At 39.1% G+C, this 22,976-nt stretch overlaps 1 protein-coding gene across 1 annotated transcript in view, besides 2 other annotated features; it reads right to left on the reverse strand.

Moving 5' to 3' along the window:
- The window catches only part of PMFBP1 (polyamine modulated factor 1 binding protein 1), a 133,293-nt gene that overhangs the window by 100,639 nt on the left and 9,678 nt on the right, over positions 1-22,976 (reverse strand). The gene's annotated exons all lie outside the window — the stretch shown is intronic.
- Positions 3,372-4,631: an enhancer, noted in NCBI's record as "VISTA enhancer hs22". NCBI's record gives its function as "enhancer in: forebrain[7/7]" and the evidence as "EXISTENCE:transgenic organism evidence [ECO:0001131][PMID:17130149]".
- Positions 5,919-7,118: an enhancer, noted in NCBI's record as "MED14-independent group 3 enhancer chr16:72257113-72258312 (GRCh37/hg19 assembly coordinates)". NCBI's record gives its function as "activates an origin of replication core promoter dependent on BRD2, BRD4, P300/CBP and CDK7 cofactors, and independent of MED14, by STARR-seq in HCT116 cells {active_cell/tissue: HCT116}" and the evidence as "EXISTENCE:reporter gene assay evidence [ECO:0000049][PMID:35650434]".

Raw genomic sequence — 22,976 nt, forward strand, 5'->3', positions numbered from 1 at the left:
ATTATAATTACATTTTAAAATACACAGTACTCTGTTGTAATTTCCATATAGCTGATTGATTCTCTCAGAATGCTTTTGTTGTTTTTATGTATGACACAATTTACTTCTTCATCAGTAATGAGGGCAACTTCTTTGCTGAATCAGTTAACAGTTTTCAAACACTGTAAGGATACTCTCTCAATATTTTGTGCTATTCAGAATGTAATGGCTACAGACACAACATGCTTTTAGTTAATCTGGATTAACAACACTTCATAACTTTTAAAAGTCTCTAGGCCAGGTACAGTGGCTCACATCTGTAATCCCAACACTTTGGGAAGCCAAGGCGGGTGGATCACCTGATATCAAGAGTTCGAGACCAGCCTGGCCAACATGGTGAAACCCCATCTCTACTAAAAATACAAAAAATTAGCCGAGTGTGGTGGTGGGCACCTGTAATCCCAGCTACTCGGGAGGCTGAGGCAGGAGAATTGCTTGAACTCGGGAGGTGGAGGTTGCAGTGAGCCAAGATCAGCCTGGGCAACAAGAGTGAAAGTTTGTCTCAAAAACAAAACAAAACAAAACGTCCTAGAAAATCAACAGAACAATAAGTCAAGCTCTGATTTATAGTGTTTGCCTGTTTCCATGGTATAAATATCCCCACCATGGTCGATTTCAAACTATCAACATGATGCCTCCAAACACGGGGTCAGGAAGAAATGCACAGTAGCTACTGCTATACAGTATTTCCTGCTTATCCATACAAGTGGCTGTTTGAACAAGATCCTGTTTGAACTCTAAGACTACTAGATATTTAGGTCTGCATCTGGATACAGAATCTTATTTGAATCAATTAGCACCTAAAGCTAAAATCTGTGCTCTTTTCTCAGGGAACCTTCTGACAATACTTACACTAAGCACAAGGAATTAGTGGGAGACACTCAATAGATCCTTTAATGGAAATTAATGAATGTCCAGCAAAAAATCAATGGAATCTACCAGAAAACAGAAATGCCTTGAAAAACTATATTTCCCAGACTGAAGGATTCTTAATACTTAAACTTTTTTTTTTCTTTTTTTGAGACTTGAGTCGTCCAGGCTGGAGTGCAGTGGCGCGGTCTTGGCTCACTGCAACCTCCACTCCCTGGGTTCAAGCCATTCTCCTACCTCAGCCTCCTGAGTAGCTGGGCTTACAGCTGCCATGCCATGTTGGCCAAGCTGGTCTCAAACTCCTGACCTCAAATGATCCACCTGCCTCGGCCTCCCAAAGTGCTGGGATTACAGGTGTGAGCCACCGCACCCGGCCTAATACTTAAACATTTTAAATATAAACATCTAATCCTCAAGTTGAAAGGCTCTTTAAAATTTCAAATATCAACTTCTAACCTCATGTGCAAAACATTCCAGAAAGTACAGTGGGTAACAGCTTTGAAGGACACACATTTCTACAGATGCCTTATCCCTATGCTCACTCGCCAAAGTTCACTAGGCATCTACCATGTGCAAAATATATTCCAGGTGTGTTGAAACCACAGTGGTAAATAAACCTTCAGGGAAAAGGTTGCATGCAATTGTTCTATGGGGTATGGGAAAAAGGGCATCGCAGGCTTAGGAAGTAACCCCAACAAAGGGCATGGCATGTTTGAAAAATGTGTAAAACATGAGGGGACAAATGGTATGAAAGCCCCTCATCATGTACTGTGGATCTTTAAAAAATTAATTAAGTAATTATTTTAAATTAAGTAAAAATATCAATTTATGACATATAACATGATGTTTTGAGACATGTATACATTGTGGAGTGGCTAAATCAAGTTATTTAACATATACATTACCTCACATACTTATTTTTTTGTGGTGAGAACACTTAAAATGACTCTCTCAGCAATTTTCAAATATACAACATATTGTTGTGTAGTCACCATGATGTATTACTGAGGATTGTGAACTGTATTCTTTATTCAAGGAGGAGAGAATCGCTGTAGGGCTTTTTACTTGTATTAGAAAGACAGTGCCCTGGCACTGTGAAGGGCTAAGGCACATAGGGAAAGACAGCAGGCAAAAGACAGTGGGGAGACAACTTCTGCACTAGTGTAGGTGAGAGATGGGTCTGAAGCAGGACGGCAGGGATGGGAGGGAAGAGGCACCCAGGAGCGCGTGGACAGGTATATCCACAGGACTTGCTCACTGACTGAATGTGCATATGTCGGGGGCCTGTGAGGATGGGGCCCGGCAGAAGACTGATGTCTGGTGCCTACGGGAGCTGCTCAATGTGGGCGGGGGGGCCTGTTTGCTCCAGATGGAAAACATGAGTGAGGAGATGTGTACTCAGTTTTGGAAATGCTGAGCCGGATAGGTCATTGGCAGATCCAGGTGGAGGTGGGACACCCAGATGGTATGAAATTTGAGGCTGGCATTCCAGAAAAAGAAGAGGGATGAGATACAGGTTTGGAATTATCAACATAAAGGCAATGAGGGCAGAGAGCCTTCACAGAGGAAAGCAGGGAAGTCAAAGGAGAGATAATGTCCTCAATTTTCTATTTTGTGGATAAGTCAATATAACACACATTTGCTTAGACTCTGCTATGCACCAGAAGAATCCAGGTCTTGGCCATGTTAGGGTTCATGGCCTAGAAAGTTCTTTAGCAAAAGCAGCCTTCAGTTTAACTGAAACATTACCCAAAGAGGGGACTTGTGGAGAAATTAAATAAATACATTTAAAATGCCAGCTTAGCGAATGTTTTATACAATTGTATAATACTCCATACTATCACAAGATTGAAGAAACAGACACACTCACGTATGGCAGTTGGAAATGAACGGGCATAACTCTTTGAAAAGTAACTTGGAAATATATATCAAGAGCCTTAAAAAGAATTATACTCTTTAAATCAAATCCTCAGGTTATTCCAAAGAAACTAACTTCAAACTTTTTTAAAGAAGCTTTCAGTACAAAGATGTTCATCACAAAGTATTTGCAATAACAGTTTGAGAATTAGCTTAGATGCCCAACTACAGTGGAGTGGTTTAGTAAATTATGACACATCTGCTAGATGGAATATTAAACAGCCATTAAAAACGATGCTTGAAGGAAGTATGTTATCTAATGTTATAATGTTAAATGGAAAAAAGGATATTCAGTATATCGCAAATGCATAAAATAAAAACCAAAAGCCCATGAATAGGAAAAAAATGTCTAGAAGGAAACATACCATAATTTGAATAGAGGTTGTCTTTAAGTGGTAGAGCTTGGTTTTCCCCTATTTGATAAATTCTTTTGCATTTCCTAGATTTTCTATATAAACATTTAATGACTATTTAATCAGAAAAATGAGCTCCAACGAGAAAACACAGAATGAAGAATGATGAAGACTTAGTGGAGACAGGAGGTATGAGAGAGGGCTCAGAGACAGTACTCGGCCTTGCATTTTTCTCCAGGCCTTGCAGGATGCAAGGTGGACAGTGCTGCAGTCCTGTGGATCTGGTGCCCTAGGCTCTGCAGACACATTGAGGGGACCCAGGGCTCTGAACAAATGGCCAGATGGTAAGAACACATCCCTCGAGTTGTTTCTTCCAGTTGCATTTTTCCCTAATCACTGTCTGCTTTGGGAAAGGTCGATCAACCTAGCAAAAGTACCCCCTGGACATCTTCACTAGGTCCACTGACTGCTCCCCAGAACTCTCAGTTTCCTGAGGATTGTGCCCTTTCCCTTCCTTTCCTGCTGCAGCTTCTCAGCCTAAGCGAACCTAGAGAGAGCAAGGGTGGGGAAGGAGAGCAGGGGTATGTGATTGCGCTGAGAACACCAAAAGCCCATAAAGTCTGAAAGGTTAAGCAAAGACTGAGGCATGAAGAGTGAAAATTCTCCATTCAACAATAATCCTCGCCCCCTGCCACCCCTGACATCTCTTCTTAAAATGGAAAGAAAGGGTGCATGATGACATTAGGCACTTTAAAATATGCAAAATTAGGAGCTGGTGCAGACCTCATTAACACCCGCCTCCAACATCATTAAGATGTTTCCAAGAAAATTAATTGAGAGACTCATTAAAAATAAATTAAGAAAAATGTGTTGCAGAGCGCCTGCACTCAGCTCATAAATCACAGCTCAGTGCTCTGGCCCGCTGCTCCGGCAATTAACTCCAACCTATTTGTTTTATCCTGACTGTGAAAATTAGAAAGCAGACGTGGAGATTAGATTAGGAATGTCTGTCAAGCGGAACTTGGAGTGAATATTTTAGGATACAAAATGGAAACCAGGAAAACAAAGACAGCAGAGATTTCATTCTGAGGAGCTTGTCTTTGAAAAGTGACAGGCAGATGAAGGGTGCTGGAGGGAGAGTATGGGGAAGGAGTACCTACTCTCGGGAAGGATGAAGGGGGAGAGAAAAGAACAGATGTTTAAACTCTTCTGACCAGGAATCGTGCAATACATTTGCATTATAAATATAAACAGTTACACATCTTAGTAAAGCTGGCATTGAGACATAAAATTGATGTTCCTGATGATACTTCATATGTCATACTTTAATGTTTAGACATAGAGTCATTTGGTTGAATCACTCGAAAGAGTTACTGGTCTCTTGCAATATTTTATGTATCAGTGATGACCACATGTTCCTCTATATGAGGTGAAATATGCCAGCCTCTTCCCTGTATCTCTCACTTAACAACAGTTATTGAGTAGCAGGCACTTTGCCGGGCTCAGGTATATGTGTCACTTCATTTAATTTTCGTAACTCCAAAAAAGAAAACCATTTTACAAGATGTTGAAACTGAAGCTCAAAGTAAAGCAATATGCATGGGAGTCGTGTGGCCAGTAAGTGGCAGAGTTGGGGTTGCAATCCTGGTGGGGTTTTTTGGTTTGGTTGGTTGGGTTTTTTTGAGTCTGGATCTTGCTATGTTGCTCAGACTGGTCTTGAATTCCTGGTCTCAAGGGACCTTCCTGCCTCACCTTCTCAAGTAGCTGGGTTAAAGGCACTCACCACCATGCCTGGCATAACCCTGGCATGTTAAACCTAAGATCAGTGCAGCCCTCAGCTTCTTTTCATTCCAAAGTTCATTTCAGGTCACTGTATTTTCCAAGCCTCAAACTAGAAAGGCTTTTTGTTCTTCCCTCCTTCCTCCTTCTATCTCTTATTTCCACAAATATTTTATTGCATGCTTGCAATATGCCAAGCATGGTATCAGGTCTGGGGGGATAGAGCAGTGGGCTTGTTGAGTTTGGGAAGACAGGTGCTGGTTAAGTCACTGCAAATGTGAGGGTCACTGCAGAGACCACAGCACAAAGGGAAACAAAGACTGTGCCCATCCCTCAGGTCATTTGTTGAATACCTGCTATGTAACGGTGCTGAGGACCCAGATGTTAGACTGCCGACTCTCCCACTTACCAGCTATGAGATGTTGGGTAAGTTATTTAATCTCTCAGTTTCCACATCTGTAAAATGGGGATAGTATTAGTACTTACCTTGGAGTTTTTTGTTTTTGTTTTTTTCTTTTTTGAAGATGAAATGAGAAATCCATGAGAAGCCCTTAGCAAAGTGCCTGGCTTAGAGTAAGCTCTGGGTAAATGTCAGCAGTTATTATTTAAAGGTGACATTTAAGTTGACTCTTAAAGGAGCAGTAGGAATTCAATCAGAATTCCATTTCTGGGGACAGCTGCAGTCTTATAGGTGGTATTTAAAATTATTTGGCTCTTTCAAATAAAAAGGGGAGTGAATAATCTTGGGTATTAATAAAAGGCTAGCCAGCTTGTCATGACACACAGCCTCACTGGGTCATGAATATGCTACCCCAGGCTGTGCATGGGAGTGGGATGCAGCAGGGCAAGAACTGGGGGGAAGTTTTGCTTCCTGTTCTCCAGGACATCTCAAAGGCACTGGGGAAAAAAATCCCATCCTGCACAAGGAAGAAAGGTTAAAGTTGAGGAGTATGTCACAGCACCGAATTTCCATGGCTCTTTCCTGCCTTGCCTAGGAGACAGTTGTGGATCAGTATTAGTGAACTGGCATTACTAATCTTTGGAAATTCAGTGACAGTGAGTGGATTGCATTTTATTTTTCATTTTGTTTTAATCTTGTTTTTAAAAGACTGGGTGTAGTTCCCGATTACAGGTCTGTTGGCTCATCCTTAATTGCAAGGCTCTTGTAACCCAGAAGATGCCAATATCCAAGTGGGTACTCAGCTGGCTGTTCTGATATGGCCCTAACAGTTGTTTACAGTTGGTGTTCTCAGTGTTCCTTATGACCAGTCAGTGGCTGGGCTGTAAAATTATTCAGTGTTTTGAATACCATGCTGGACCAAGGCAAAGTTTGAAATATATGAAGCATGAGAATAAAAGACTTCCTAGGTAGCAGGTCACCTGCCCAAATCATAAGTAAGGGCCAACAAGCTAGAGCTGCTGAGTAGAGTACCCTGAACAGGAAAAGGACAAAAACTAGTAGACATGACAAAGGAGGGCTGCTGCATGGTCAAAGGCACCAGGAACCTATCAGAGGATGGGGCTACAGGACTTACCTTCTGAAACTACAAGCTTTACTGAAAGGAATATAATACATGAAGAGAAACACATTGGAAAATTACTAGCTAAGAATAGAAATTTCCTTCTTAAAGGTTCCTATCTATACCTTAAAGGCCAGAGATCTATTGAAGGGCAAACACCTGGGAAGGATAGCATTGCAAATTCTTACCTTCAGGATGAATTTCACACCCTTTCCAGATGACAGATTTGACACTGGAAATGAAGTAAACAGACACGACCCTGGTCTGCAGAAGAGAGGTACTGCACTGAGTTCTCTGAAGTGATAAAAATAAAGCCAACCTATTTCAAAAATTTGTCCAGGGCTGGGCTGCTGATGGCAACACTTGAGAAGTTTCATCAGCAACTCTGTCCTCTCCTTGGCCTCATGTCCAAATCGGTGTCATGTTCTGTGAATTCTTCATCCTCCATGTCCTCTATATCCATCTCTCTTTTCCATCCCACTCCACCCTAGTTTGGCTCTTTCTTGTCTGAGCTCTTGCGAGAGCCTCTTCCTGAGTTTCCCTCCTCCAGTCTCTCCTCTACTCCGTTGACTGCCAGATTGTCTTACAGCATAGATGAAACCACGTGACTTCTGTGCCCCAAGACTTTGATGTCTACAGAATAAAGTTCAAGCTTCTCAACGTTGTCACCTGGAATCTGGCCACAATTGATCTTTTCAGGCCTATCTCTCCCTATCTCCTTTTCTAATTACACATTTTTGATTCTTGCCCAACCCAACCACTCACTATTTCCCAAGCACACCCTATACTTTCCCACGCCTTTGACTCCCACATGACCTTTGTCACACCTGCCTCCCTTCTGCTCTGCCTGACAAATTTTAACCTCTTCTTCAAACACCAGCCCAAATGCTCAGTTCCATAAAGCTTCTGTGACCTTGCCTCGCCTGCCTCAGAGAGAAGTAATTTGCTTTTAGAGTTCACACAGTGCCTGTGAATACTTGTTGAGTGACTGAATCAACTTGCTCATAGCAATTTCATATTGTCTCTTACACCTCAATTGGTTGCAATACGTGCACTGGTCTGTCACCTCCCGAGATTCCAGGATCCCTAAAGATATGAACAAGGCCTTGTTTGTATCCCACACAGAATTTGTACTTTGCACATATTAAGGGCTTCTTAAATTTAGTTATACTCTACTAACAATAAAATTTATGTGTTTTGACACATTTTTTGTTCTGAGTTACTTATATAAACAAGCATGTAGTTCTATCTTTAATAATGAAGAATTAATGGTACCTGTAGATGAATTTAACGGTGAGACACAGTGGTGGAGCTAAGGCGACCTCCCCAACTTCTGGTCCAGTGTTCTTTGCTCCACCATACTTTATCCATACATCAGCATTCCTCAAAGAACTAGAACACTTCAGAATAGTTACTTCTTTAAGCACCTGAAAGAAGAGCCTATCAGAGAAGCAATGTCTGAGCAGGAGAAACCATGTGCTCTCCCCACACCCCAAATGATGCACAGAAGGCACATCCATGCTGGTCATGCACAAGATGCCTGTTTCACTTAGTCTCCGAGGTCAAGCTTACCACCTTAGGTCACTCTTTTATCTCAGGACAGCAGGGAAATAAAGAAGTCAATAGACCCCACTGGCCCGGCACAGTGGCTTATGCCTATAATCCCAGCAGTTAGGGAGGCCAAGGCGGGAGGATCACTTGAGCCCAGAAATTCAAGACCAGCCTGGGTAACACAGCAAGACCCCATGTCTTTACACGGGGTCTCTACAAAAACAAAACAAAACAAAAAACTAGCCAGGTGTGGTGGTGCATGCCTAAAGTTTCAGCTACTCAGGAGGCTGAGGTGGGAGGATCACTTGAACCTGGGAGTTCAAGGTTACAGTGAGCTATGATCATGCCCCTCCACTCCAGCCGGGATGACAGAATGAGACTGTTTATAATAATAATAATAATAATAATAATAATAATAATAATAATAAAGCCTCACAAAATCCTAGAAGCTCTTATTTCGACATAATCCTTTTCACATAGCCCATAGATGCTAGGTGTGTAGTCACATTTGAAGAAATCAATCTAGGTCACAGATGAAAAATTGGTTAATTCTTATACCTGACATCACATGTGCATGTACATCCACACACACATGCATGCACACTCACAGACACACACACACACACACACACACACACACACACACTGAGCAACAGTCTTCAGAAGCCAAAGCATCTCTAAGCTACCAAACACTACTTTCTGAGATTCCCTACCCAGTTCTTCCTATGAGCACTTTATTCCCACTGAACATGGTCATCCCCAGCTGAAGACTATACCCTATGCTATGGAATCCATCCTCTCTGTCAAGCTACATATTTGTACGCTTTGTTATCCAATCCAACTGGCCCAGGCTTTGTGAGCAGTGTCTGAGTATTCCTCTGGGAATTCTTTGGTTACTAGATTATTCTGGGCTGTGGTTATCTTTCAATACCTCATAGGTATTATCTAGCCTTTCCAGTGATAATAATTAGAGCAATTAGCATGGCCAGTAGCTTTGGACTGATTTATTCTCTTAAGCTAATGTGCAGGTAGGAAAGATTTAACTGCCCTGGTTCTGTCAAGGTCCAAGTGGTGCGTAGGCTTCCACTGCTTAGTCAAGCATTTCCGGGGTTAATTTTCATTAAAATGACCCTGACACTAATGACAAGTGACTGTTTCTGCCCCCATTTCAATTTCATAATAATGTCCTTTTATTTGCTTCTCACTAAAGGATACAGACACATTGCCAAAAGCTTCCATTTGTCTCCATTATATATCATTTTTAATTTTAATTTCAGAATTGTTTCTTTGTAAGAATTTTGTCTCTCTCTTAGAACAAAAAATATTTGAGGGCAGAAACTGTATTTTATTTGATAACCGGTACATAAGGTGGTTGAAATGATAAAACAAACAAACAAACAAACAACAATTCCACATCTGAACTAACAATATTCTAGAGATTCGCAAAGAAGCATTTGGATTTCAGTCTCGCCACAACATGTCAAGAGAGACCTTTTGTCAGTTCCTTAACCCCTTGATCTCCATCAGCAAAAATGAGCATAATAATGCTCACCTAAAAAGGTTTTAGCGAAGATGAGATGAGAAAAAATTTTATGAAAGTACCTGGCATTGCTTGGATGTCAAATGAATCTGAGCATATTACCATATTACCAAATAGCTGAGACCTAATAAAAAACCCACCCTCCCTAAATGCTCATGAAAATGTAACTAAACCAAGAAGAATTTAATATGTTTCTTTTATGCCCCTCTGCCTGATTTCATTTGTAGAAAAAAAAAAGCCTATAAAATTTAGTGTTTTTAGGAATTGTAAAGACTACTTAGCTTAATGTCCGCATTTAATAGGAAAAGAAACTGAGATTCAGAGACGTTAACTTCAAGGTTATATGGCTAATAATTAGCATGCTGATTCCCCTTACATTTTGCACACAGGATAGTCTGCACTGTTATTCTGAAAGATGTGTTAAAGAGCTGATCCTTCCTCTTGAGTCTAGGGTGAGAATGACTGATGACAGCAATTCACCTTGAATCCTTTTTATAACTTTTTGTTATGCTTCCAATGATTAAAGGGACACATGCTTATTCTAGAACATTTGGAAGAAAAGTGTAAGAAAGAAAATTAAAACTACCTACAGTTCATCATCTAGTGATAAATATTTTTAACATTTTAGCATGATTAATAAAATTGGGATGATTCTATATTTTTGTACTTGAATTAAAAAAATTGACATTATTCTATTGATATTTCCCCATATTATTAAAGTCTTTGAAAATATGATTTCAAAGGGCCGTATAACATTCTTCCATGTGGATTTATCATTGCTCAGGAGGCAGAATGGTATGCCCTTAAGAGTCAGAGAGACGTGGCATAGAATTCCAATCCCACCCCTCTAACAGCTAGGTGATACAAAACCAGCTACTAATCCTCATTAAGCCTCAGTCCTCACATCTGCAAAATATTGATAATATTCACCACATGTGGTTTCTATCAAGGTTAAATGATGTGGCATATATATGTACTTAGCATTGTGCCCCCACACAATGAGCACTTCATAAATGGTAGCTATTTATTGTTATTATGTTATCACATTCTTATTATTGGACATTTAGGTTGTTTCCAGTTATAAGTAAACACCTAAACGCCAAGTGAAATATCTTCCCCGTAGCCCCCATGGTAACCTACCTGAAATATGTATCTGTTATGCTTACTCCTGTGCTTGAAATCTGTAGCTCCCCATCAAAGGTTTTCAAACTTTCTTTTCAGAAGTGGAAGCCTTTTGTTAAACATCTTAAGGAAAACTTCCCAGGCAACTTGGGTTGTGGCAGGGGTGGGGTTCGAGCCTGGACCAATTCCCAGCCCTTCTCCCACCGTCGTTGACATAGGCCCCTAAAGCATTTCTGAGGAATGCTAAGGCTACTCTGAACACACTGGGAGGAATTTTGGCCTACTGGGTGAAAGGAAGGTTCTGAGTATCGTGTACGATACCTCCAAACTGCTCGTTCCTGAAAGACCCCGATGCAGTTTATTCCCTTACGATTTTGTTATGTTGTTGCTTTTGCCTGGAATGTTCTTAACTCCCATCTTCCCAAGGCTAACACCTACAATGGACTCCATCTGCACATCACTTCACCCAGGAAGCCATCCCTGCTCCAGCCTGCTGAGACACTCTTCTCCCGTTTCTAGGATACCTGGTCAAGTTCTCCATCACTGTGGGGAACACAGAGCTGAACTGTGAGCTCTTACAGGACACAGACTGCATCTCATTGACAGCTGTATTCCCAGTCCCCAGCATAACGTCTGGTACTGCTAAATGCTCACCAAAACTATTTGTTAAATCTACAAACTTATGAATAAATTTGGGGTGCCTCTCTATTTCTTTAGGATAGTTTTGCAGAAGCAGATTACTGGGTCAAAAGGATGACCACTTTTAGGCTTCTTTTCTTTCTTGTATATTTTTTCCCTTACTTCTCTACAGATGAGTACAATATTTTTCTTGTATACTCTTTATATATTACTTTTTTTTTTTTTTTTTACTTTCCAACTTTATTTTAGGTTCGGGGGTACATGTGCAGGATTGTTACATGAGTAAACTGGGTGGCATGGGGCTTTGGTGTACAGATTATTTTATCACCCGTAATAAGCACAGTACCCCATTGGTAGAGAATGATCCTCATTCTCTTCCCACCCTCTAGCCTCAAGTAAGCCCAATGTCTATTGTTCCCTTCTTTATGTCCATGTGTTTTCAGTGTTTAGCTCTCACTTATAAGTGAGAACATGCAGTATTTGGTTTTCTGTTCCTATGTTAGTGTGCTTAGGATAATGGCCTCTAGCTCCATCCATGTTGCTGTCAAGTATATTATCTCATTCTTATTTACGGCTGCATAATATTCCATGGTATATATGTACCACACTTTTTAAAATCCAGTCCACTGTTGATGGGCATTTAGGTTGATTGCATATCTTTGCTATTGTGAATAGTGCTGTGATGAACATAAGTGTGCATGTGTCTTTATGGTAGAACAATTTATATTCCTTTGGGTATGTAACCAGTAACGAGATTGCTGGGTTGAACGGTAGTTCTGTTTTAAGTTCTTCGAGAAATTGCCAAACTGCTTTCCACAAGGGCTGAACTAATTTACATTCCCACAGCAGTGCATAAGCATTCCTTTTTCTCCACAACCTCACCAATATTTTTTTTTCTTTTTTCTTTTTAATAATAGGCATTCTGACTGGTGTGAGATGGTATCTCACTGTGATTTAGATTTGCCTTTCTCTAATGATTAGTGACATTGAGTATTTTTTCATATGCTTGTTGCCTGTGTGTATGCCTTCTTTTCATAAATGTCTGCTCATGTCCTCTGTCTAGGCTTCTTGATGCACTCTTGGTAAGATTTATTGCAGAAAATTATAAGACATTTATTTGAAAGACAACTGTCTCTCCTGTGTCCATTAGGGTTTGCTATTTGTGTTTGGGAATGCAGCTGAAGAAGCCAATATTTGAACCATAAAAATTGGCTATTTTTTTTGCGGTGCCTGATTTGAGATAAACAGAGCTAAACAGAGGTACCAGTGCTTGAGGTGACCAGTACAAAGTAGGGCCCTAGAAAATGTTACTGTCCAGCAGCACATATTACCAGAGGGCTGGAGGTACACACCGCTGAAGGCTGGTGACTTTAGTCACTTTCCATACACGTAATTTCTCCGAACCTATTTTCTCATCTGTAAATGGGTTTACCAATACCTCTTAGGGGAGCATGTGATGATTGAGTTGAATCAAATGGGCCAACACACGTAGAATCCTAACACATTCATTTGTGTGCTTTTACTGACTGGTAAGGAGGAGAGCTAGGCACTAGGATAATAGAGTTCCAAGTTTAGGAAATATTTAAACTGACCTCTCTGATTGTCTTCCCTTTTCATAAGATCCCATAGTGTTCATACACAAACCATTAGGATATAACCAGGTTATCCCATTTTGTCACATGGAAGATAGAGAAATCACAACTATAAAAATCTTACATTTAAAGGGAAATTGAATAGGTTGAGATGACTCTAAGACACTTTAAATTATTACACTCAATCCTATGGTTTTAATTACTCATATGCCCATGACTTCAAAAATCCAAATCTCTAGCCCAGAACTTTCTCCTGAGTTGACTCATCTGCCTAGATGGACCAACTGCCTAGATGGTCCAGGTATGGCAAACTCAGCACGCTCAAAGCTGGATCCATCCCCACTCCCAACTATTTCTGTCCAAATTTGCTCTTCCTGCTGTAACTTCCCATATCATCATCACCCATTTTGTTACCCCAAGCCAAACACTTGGGAGTCATGATCAACACTTCCCTCTTCTCAACCCCACATCTAAGTAGTCACCAAATCCTGATGTTCTAACACCTAGATATCATTCACACCCATCCCTTCTCCTCCTCAGCTGTCGCTACCTTGGATCAGCTCTTCATTATTTCTTGCCTGGATTAACACAGTGACCTCCCAACTGGTCTCCCTGATTCTGGTCTTGCTCCCTCCATTCCATCACTCATATTCCTGTCATAAGCATATAATCAATCTGGATGAAAAAGAGCTGTAAACGGCAATAGATATCAATGTCTTCAAATCGTGTTCTTTAAAAAATATGAGGTCATAGGTTAAGACATAATCAGTTAAACATAGTTCTCCTGGAGACAGGTTGACTGCTTGGCTTGAGAATCAAATGAAATATAACAATGAATGATATATCAGTTCACTTTAAATAATACTCATGGAGAACCGACATTGATTGGATTGTGCAGAGATGATGTGGGGGTAGCACTGGAAGGGCACAGAGGATTAAGGTGAAGTTCTCCAGTGTCTTGAGGGCCACATGGTCTTTGTGAACGTGGCAGGCAGAGGATCATTTACGAAAGCCTATTATAGCTTGATAATTCCAGGAACCAAAGTCACAACCAACAGTAACAACCTTTTCTCCTCTCAAAATGACACATACATTACTACAGTCTCTAAAAGGAGGCTTTTTCAGTTTCATGACCACAACGAACCCCAAATATGACGGGCTTTAGATGAAGCTACCAGTGCCTCAAACCTTTGACACATCCACTGCCTGAAGGTTAAAGGGAAAACAGTCTAAGTTTCCCATGTTTAGAGAAAATGGCAGTGAGTATAAAATGGGATGAAGCCTGAAAATTGGAATAAGGCAAACATGACTAGCAAACAAATAGAGATGAGACATGGTGTTTTAGATTAGTGATTCTCAAACTGTGTGAGCTAAAGATCAGTTTTTAAAACATATCCAAACATTATGGACTAATATTTTTGTAAAACACAATAAAGTTAATCTTAAAAAATAAAATATCAAAGAAATATAAAATACAAGGCCTGTATTTAATGATGAGGATTGCACAGATATATAATTACTCTGTCATGCTGCTGCAAAATTTTCTAAGTGTTCATTCTTAATTTTTATATGTGTTTTATTACAAACCAGTAACAAACTGGTCCATTGACCTCACTTTGAATAGCACTGTTTTAAAGCATTTATTAAAGATAGGTGGGAAAAATTTTCCTCACAAAGATATACTTTTGGGAAGACACCCATTTGTCATCTGATATGCTTGGATTTTTCCTTCAAAGATGGAAACATTTTGGCTATTTGGGTCTTGGAGAACTTCAATCTCTGGTCACGCCAAGTTGACACCATTTCGTGAGAAAATACCTATCAAACTAGTGAGCTCCAAGTCAATCTCTAGAAAAACAATGGTTGTGTGGATTAAAAGCCCTCATTAGAGAATATATAAGCTGTGACTATAATGTTCACTGTATTGTTTAGTGATGGATTTTTCAATCAACTATAAAGAATGTCCCTCCATGCCTTTCAGATCTCAATCAATTATCATGATGTCTGATTTGAGAGGCTGATAGCCACAGTGATAGAAACTCTAGTGATGGGGCAGGTTTTGCTGAACAATAAATATCTGTCAAGCACAAGCTATATGCAGGCTTCTTGCTGTCCTTATTCTAAACACAAGGGCAGCTGTCTCTCTCTGGAAAAGACATGCATAGTCTGTGCTTAAACATCAGAAGGAAGATCTCAGCTTCTCAGACCCACTATTGTTTTAGGTTAAAAAGGCTAAGAAATGTTGGTAAAGCAGGGATAGTCAAAAGAAAGAATGAACAGAGGTATTTATTTCTTACCACTTAAAATCTTGTTTACAGATAAGCTGTCCTCATACTGTGGCTTGAAACCCCATTAGAAGACACATTTAACATGACTGTCATGGGCTGTTTCTCATTATAGCCAATGGTGAAATAATGGTTAGTAGTAACTTTAGAAATAAGGAAATGGATATAGTGCATGAAGAGGATAAGTATTAACTTATAGATCAAACTTCAATTTGAGGGGACTGACATGAAGAGGTTGGAGGAGTGAAGACTTCAGGGAGACAGCCTTTAAGCAGTGAAAAACAAATCCTATGGAAGTGGGAGTTCTGGTCAGCAAACATGCACTGAACATGTTCTAAGTGTTAGGGATGCAAAGTTAATAAAACACTGTCTCCATTTTTATAGTCTGGTGTCAGAGGCAGACATGTATACAAATGATTGCAAAATGGTAGGAGATAGGCAGAAACAGGAATTTATACAAGATATTGATATACAGATGAGACAGTGATTAACTCTGTCAGAATTGTCAGAAAACATAAAAACTTACAAAGCCATTTATATTGGTAAAAATGACTCTCAAAATGTTAAGGTAAATCATTTCTATAAGTTGCTAAAGGGAAAACTAAGGTTTAATTTACCTGTAGTCCAGTATGCACTTGAACCCCCCCAATAGTAAGGGATAGGTTAAAAACTCTTCATTAGGACAATTACCTTCCACCAAAAATTATATGTACACATACCAACACCCCTAGCCCTAATCCAAACCACCTAGTAAAGCTCTTATTCAAGTAAAATCGAGTCTTTAAGAAATAACCATTCTGAGTGAGTACTGAGGGATCCACAAAAAGGCAAATAATAATGGATGAAAAGAATGAATTCTACTTGGCTTAAATCTTCAGAAGAGATGGTCATCCTACATCTTTGTTGGGCTTGGACACATTTAGATCCTCTGAACAAATATGCAACAGATAAATGCTTTGAACAGATTGAATGGAACACAGCATCTTTGTGATGGGTTGGTAACTAATAAGAATAATTACCAATACTATTGTCCTTCATTATTTCTGTTTTTATAACAACTTTATTGAGATATAATTCACATGCCACAGAATTCAACCCTTTAAAGTATACAATTCAATGATTTGTGGTACATGTACACAACGTGTACAGAGCTGTGTAACTATCACCACTATCTGACTTTAGAATATTTTTATCACCCCTAAAGAAATCTTATACCTATCGGCAGTCATTCGTCATTCCCTCCTTCCCTCAGCCCCTGGAAACCATTACTTTATTTTCTACCTCCATGGATATGCCTATGCTAAACATTTCACATCATGGGAATCATACAATATGTGGCTTTTGTGTCTGGCTTCTTTCACTTAGCATGATGTTTTCAAGGCTTATCCATGTTGTTAACAGGTGTCAGTATTTCATTCTTTTTGATGGCCAAATAATATTCCATTGTATGGGCAAACCATATTTTGTCTGTTCATCAGTTGATTGACATTTGGGCTTTTTCCACTTTTGGCTACTATAAATAATTTTGCTATGAGGTTTCCTGTGCAAGTTCTTGTGTGGACATATGTTTTCAATTTTCCTGGTTTTAAACCTAGGAGTGGAATTACTGGTCATTTGGTCCCTATATATTTAACATGTTGAGAAAGTGTTACACTATTTTCCAAAGTGACTGCACCATTTTAGAATCCCACCAGCAATGTATGAAGGTTCTCTTAACCAGCATTTGTTGTCATAGCTTCCCTTAAAGGGGAACAAACTTGCCAAACAGATGGAGAGAACAAATCATCCGACAGTGCACAAACTATCTGGGACTTGTGATTAAAACAGCCTGCAGCAAGGAGGACAATGAGCAGAAGGGACAATCCCCAAATTCGTACAAACACAGAAACTCAGGATTAGTGTCCCCGAGTTGACCTATTCTCATTATGATAGTAAAAAACACACCCTTGGTTAGAGAATTAAGATGCTAATGAGACATGTGATGTACACAGCACGTACAGCAACTGGCATGTGCACCCAGGAGACTACCTGCAACATGCTTAACAGCAACGTCCAACCCCACCCTCTTACGAATAATTATATAAGCTTCCTATAAAGGGAATTTCCCCAGTGTCACATGGGGCTGTCTTATTCTCGAGCAGCCTGCTATCAAGTGTACTTTTGCTTTGCAATAAACTTCTTTGCCTATTTTACTTTGAACTCACTCTCATGACTTTGTGTCATGAAGTCAAGAACCTGAACTGACCCACTGACAACTTTGTTGTTTTGATTTTTATTTCCCTAATGACTAATGATACTGAGCATGTTTTTATGTGCTTATTGACCATTTGGATATCTTCACTGGATAAATTTTTATTCAAGTCCTTTGCCCATTTAAAAATTGAATTACTTGTCTTTTTATTGTTGAGTCGTAATAGTTCTTCATGTACTCTGGATACAAGTTATTTATCAGATAGATTATTTGCAAATATTTTATCCCATTCTGTGGGTTGTACTTTCACCTTCTTGATGGCGTACTTTGAAGCACAAAAGTTTTTAATTTTGATGTCCAATTTGTCTATTTTTCTTTTGTTGCTCATGCTTTTGGTGTCATAACTAAGAAACCATTGCCTAACCCAGGGTCAGGATTTGCTCCTATGTTTTCTTCTGAGATTTTTATAGTTTTATTTCTTACATTTATGTCTATGATCGATTTTGAGTTAATTTTTGTGTATGGTGTACCTTTTGCACATGAATATCCAGTTTTTCCAGCCCCATTTGTTGATCAGACTATTCTTTCCTCATTGAATTGTCATACCACAACTTTTGAAAATCAATTGACTATAACATAAGGGGACACTTCTGGATTCTCAATTCTATTTCATTTATCTACTATTTTCTATCTTTATGCCATTACCACACTGTCTTAATTACTATAACTTTGTAGTAGTTTGGAAATAAGAAAGTGAGAGGTCTCTAACAATCCTATTTTTCATCACTGTTTTGGCCATTCTTTTTTTTTTTTTTGCATTTCTGTATGCATATTAGTATCAGCATATCAATTTCTGAAATCAAGCACCTGGGATTTTGATAGGGATTGTGTTGAATCTGTAGATCACTTTGGGAAATACGGTCATCTTGACAGCTGTCTTCCAATCCATGACCATTTATTTAGGTCTTTAATTTCTTTCAAAATGATTTGCAGTTTTCAGTTACAAGTCTTGAACCTCTTTTATTAAATTTATTCCCAAGTTTAAAAAAAATACTATTATAAATGGAATTGTTTTCTTAATTTCATTTTTGGATTGTTTATTGCTACTGTATAGAAATACAATTGATTTTTTGCCTATTGATCTTGTGTCGTGCAACACTGCTGAACTTGTTCACTAGTTGTAAGAGTTGCTTTTATATGGATTGCTTAAGATTTTCTACATTCAAGATCATGCCATCTAAAAACAAAGTGAGTATCCCTTCTTCCTTTCCAATCTGGAAGCTTTTAATTGTTTTTCTTGCCTCATTATCATCACTAGATCTCCAATACAAGGCTGAATAGAAATGATGAGAGTAGATGTTTTCTCTTGTTCCTGATCTTAGGGGGAATGCATTTAGTCTTTCACCACTAAATACGATATTAATTTTGGGGTTTTTGTAAATGCTGTTTTTTTGGGTTGAGGAATTTTTCTACTATTCCTAGTTTGTTGACTGTTTTTATCATGAATGGGTATTAGATTTTGTCAAATGCTTATTCTGCTATTTCTCTGTTTTTGAATTCAAAAGTTGCATTGTTTAAGTCTGGTTTTTCCAGGAAGGCAGATCATGTACTTAATGAACTTGTAAACTTAAGTGAAGAGGATAGGAAACAAAATGTTACTAGTGTGTCTTAGTTTCTGTTCGCTACATTTAACAAGGTACTACAAGAAAGAGAGAGCTCAAAGGAACTTGCTAGTTTGTAAGTGGGATTGAAAAATGTAACTATTTTTAATTTCCAACCAGCAAAAGATAAAATTGAGAAATGCCTTTAGTAATAAGGCTCATTTTTTTTAAAAGCCCCACACCCAAGACATGATCAAGATTAAGGCCATCATTCCTTCTGCTGTAATCTCTGAATTGATTTGGCAGTACCCACTAAATGTTTTCAGTTGGACAAAGTGACTGAAACCCCCACTTTGGGGGAAAAACAAAACAAAACAAAACGATGATCAAACCATAACATGGCTGTGTAAGCTTCTGCTGGCAAGTTGTACACCTCACTTATATCCACATTTCACTGGCAAAAGAAAGTCTTACCAAGCTTGATGTCAAAGAGACAGTCATCTCATATGGATAGGTGCTGAAAATAAAATGAAAATAAGTGATATGTATAGTACTTTCACAGGAAAGGGGAGCAAATAATTGAGAAGAGTAATAAAATCTACCACACTTGGCTCTTTTAGTAATAAATATTTGTTCCCCCCTTTTATATGCAAAATACTTTCATCACTTCTCTAAAGAAGTCCCAAAGTCTTATTCAATCACATTTCAAACTCAAAACACTGGATCTCACATGACTCCTCTTGATCCAGATTTATGAACTAAAGCCAAGTTACCTGTTCCCACATGCCCAACATGTAGTGGGAGAGGGACAGGGTAACTACCATAAATACTCCCGCTTAGAAGGAGAAAGAAGGAAAATCATTGAGCAGACACTGATTCACAGCCAACTCTAAATTCTTTGTGGGATGACATGGGAAGAGACCCCTAGAGATAGGAGGAACGTTATTTGGTTAGGTTCTGGTTCTGCTCTCTGGGGAAAGCTTCCTATATTGCTGCTGTCCATAGCTCAGGGAGGTAATTTCTTCTCATTATCCTCCTTGGCCATATCTAAGAAAGGCACTGAAAAAAATGCTTTCCACTAGGGTTTGGCCTGCTTTCCATAGAAGACTGGGGGTTCCAGGCCATCTTTGTCTCAAATAGTCACATTAAAAAAAAATTCTAGGTGCTGGCTCTTTGGAGGAGGGTTGAAATCTTAACAAGATGAAGTGTTCTAATCCACGACCATGGGATGTCTTTCCATTTATTTAGGTCTTCAATTTCTTTTTAAAAAATTTTTTTGGCATTAAATCTCTTACAAAAATGTCGTTTTGTATCTACTTGATCCTAGCCAACTCTATATGTCTTTTTTTTAAAAAAACTTTCATTTTAAATTTAGGGGTACATGTGCAGGTTTGTTGTATAGGTAAACTTGTGTTATGGGGGTTTGTTCTACAGATTATTTTGTCACCCAGGTATGAAGCCTACTACTCCTTAGTTATTTTTCCTGATCCTCTCCCTCCTCTCACCCTCCACCCTCTAATAGGCCCCAGTGTTTATTGTTCCCCTCTATGTGTCCATGTGTTCTCATCATTTAGATCCCACTTATAAGTGAGAACATGTGGTATTTGGTTTTCTGTTCCTGTATTAGTTTCCTAAGGATAATGGCCTCTAGCTCCATCCATGCTCCTGCAAAGGACACAATCTCATTCTTTTTTATGGCTGCATAGTATTCTATGGTGTATATGTATCACATTTTGTTTATCCAGTCTATCATTGATGGACATTTAAGTTGATGCCATGTCTTTGCTATTGTGGATAGTGCTGCAATGAACATATGTGTGCATGTGTCTTTGTGATAGAATGATTTATATATATTCCTTTGGGTATATACCCAGTAATGGGATTGCAAAGTTGAATGGTGGTTCTGTTTTTAGGTCTTTGAGGAGTTGCCATACTGCTTTCCACAATGGTTGAACTAATTTACACTTCCACCAACAGGGTATAGTGTTCCTTTTTCTCCACAACCTTGCCAGCATCTGTTATTTTTTGACTTTTTAATAATAGGCATTCTGACTGGTGTGAAATGGTATCTCACTGTGGTTTTGATTTGCATTTCTCTAATGATCAGCAATGTTGACTTTTTATCATGTAATTGTTGGCTGCATGTATGCATGTATGCCTTCTTTTGAAAAGTGCCTGTTCACGTCCTTTGCCCACTTTTTAATGGGATTTTTTTCTTGTAAATTTGTTTAAGTTCCTTATAGTCTATATGTCAGTAATCAATTGCTCACTTCTTTTTGAAACATGCTTCCCTTTAGACTTAATTATATATCTTGAGCTTTCAGACTTCTGTGGAAGGACCTATTCACAGGCAATATCAGGAACCATAAAGTACCTGCTATGTTTTGAGCATATTTTCAGAAACACAGGCTTTATTGCATAGATAAAGATTGTCTCCAAAACATGGGACAACCAAGCCTATTTTCTAAAATAACAACCATTCACTCTAGTCTAGTGGTTTTCAACCAGAGGTGATCTTGCTCCCCATGGAGCAATGTCTAGAGACATTTTAATTGTCACAGCTTGGTGGGGTGGGCGTTACTGACATCTAGTGGGTAGGGGCCAGGGATGGTGCTAAACATCCTAAAATGCATAGGACAGCCCCTCCTCTGCCTCCCCTCAGCAAATAATTATCCTGTCAATTCTATGAAGAGGGTGCTGCATAATAAAATATACCCAAAAAAACAAAAAAACAGGAAAAGGGATTTTGCAAAAAGTAAGGAAAAAATCAAAACAAGAATTGTCTAGCCCCAAATGTTATTAGTGCTGAGATTGAGAAACTTTTTTCCTAATAGTACCATTGAAACTGAAATCTCATTAAGACTCCTGATGGCTCTCTAAGCAAAAACAACGATAACATGTTTCCATGTTTACCCCACCAGCCACACATATATTCTTCAATTTTTTCTTCCTCAGAAGCAAAAAGTAGGATCAGGAAGACTATGAAAGGCCATTTGTTTTGAGACTTGAAGGAATCAGTTTGTTCTTTTGTAACCCTTCCATTGTCTGTTGATCACCACATATTTTGTTAAGGCTTTTTACATGATACATAATCTTTTGATCCATTCCTTTATCTACCCCAAAATTCTCTGCGATGCTAAATAAAACACATTCTCAATTTATATGCATTTTCTTTTTTACCGTTTAATTCCTAGTGTGGGCCTTTCTTTAAACCTTTTTTAGAAGGAAAAGTACAGCTACTGAGAGGTCCTATTTGGTTTACAATCATGTCTGGTTTATCATTACTATCATCTAGTGCCTCCAAGAATGTTCCTGTTGGCTGGGCGCAGTGGCTTGCACCTCTAATCCCAGCACTTTGGGAGGCCGAGGCGGGTGGATCACAAGGTCAGGAGATCGAGACCATCCTGGCCAACATGGTGAAACCCCGTCTCTACTAAAGATACAAAAATTAGCTGGGTGTGGTGGCATGTGCCTGTAATCCCAGCTACTCGGGAGGCACGAGAATCGCTTAAACCCAGGAGGCGGAGGTTGCAGTGAGCCAAGATTGCACCACTGCACTCCAGCCTGGTGACAGAGAGAGACTCCATGTACAAAAAAAAAAAAAAAGAAAAAAAAAAAAAAAAGAATGTTCCTGTTGTCATTAGGTGTTTGTGAAGAAAACCCATGAGGTTTAATATTAAAATAGGAGATATACTCGAGGGTTTAGGGGTTTCTTACCCAGAACCTCAGGTTCCTTAAGCACCAGGGAAATATTTTAATAAAAATGCACAGAACATTTCAGCTAGAGATTAGTCCAATAGGAGGGAGGACATATCAGGAGGTAAATACAAGTTATAGATGCAAAAATACCTAACAGGTCATATCAGGTAGACTGTGGCGCAGAGAACAAGGAGGCTGTACCTGCTAAAGACCTAGATTCTACAGGAATAAAAGGAAATGCTGGTTTCTTTCTAGTAACTTAACATGGTTACTAGTTT

This window comes from Homo sapiens, chromosome 16, assembly GCF_000001405.40.
Source record: "Homo sapiens chromosome 16, GRCh38.p14 Primary Assembly".
NCBI classification, from domain to species: Eukaryota; Metazoa; Chordata; class Mammalia; order Primates; family Hominidae; genus Homo; species Homo sapiens.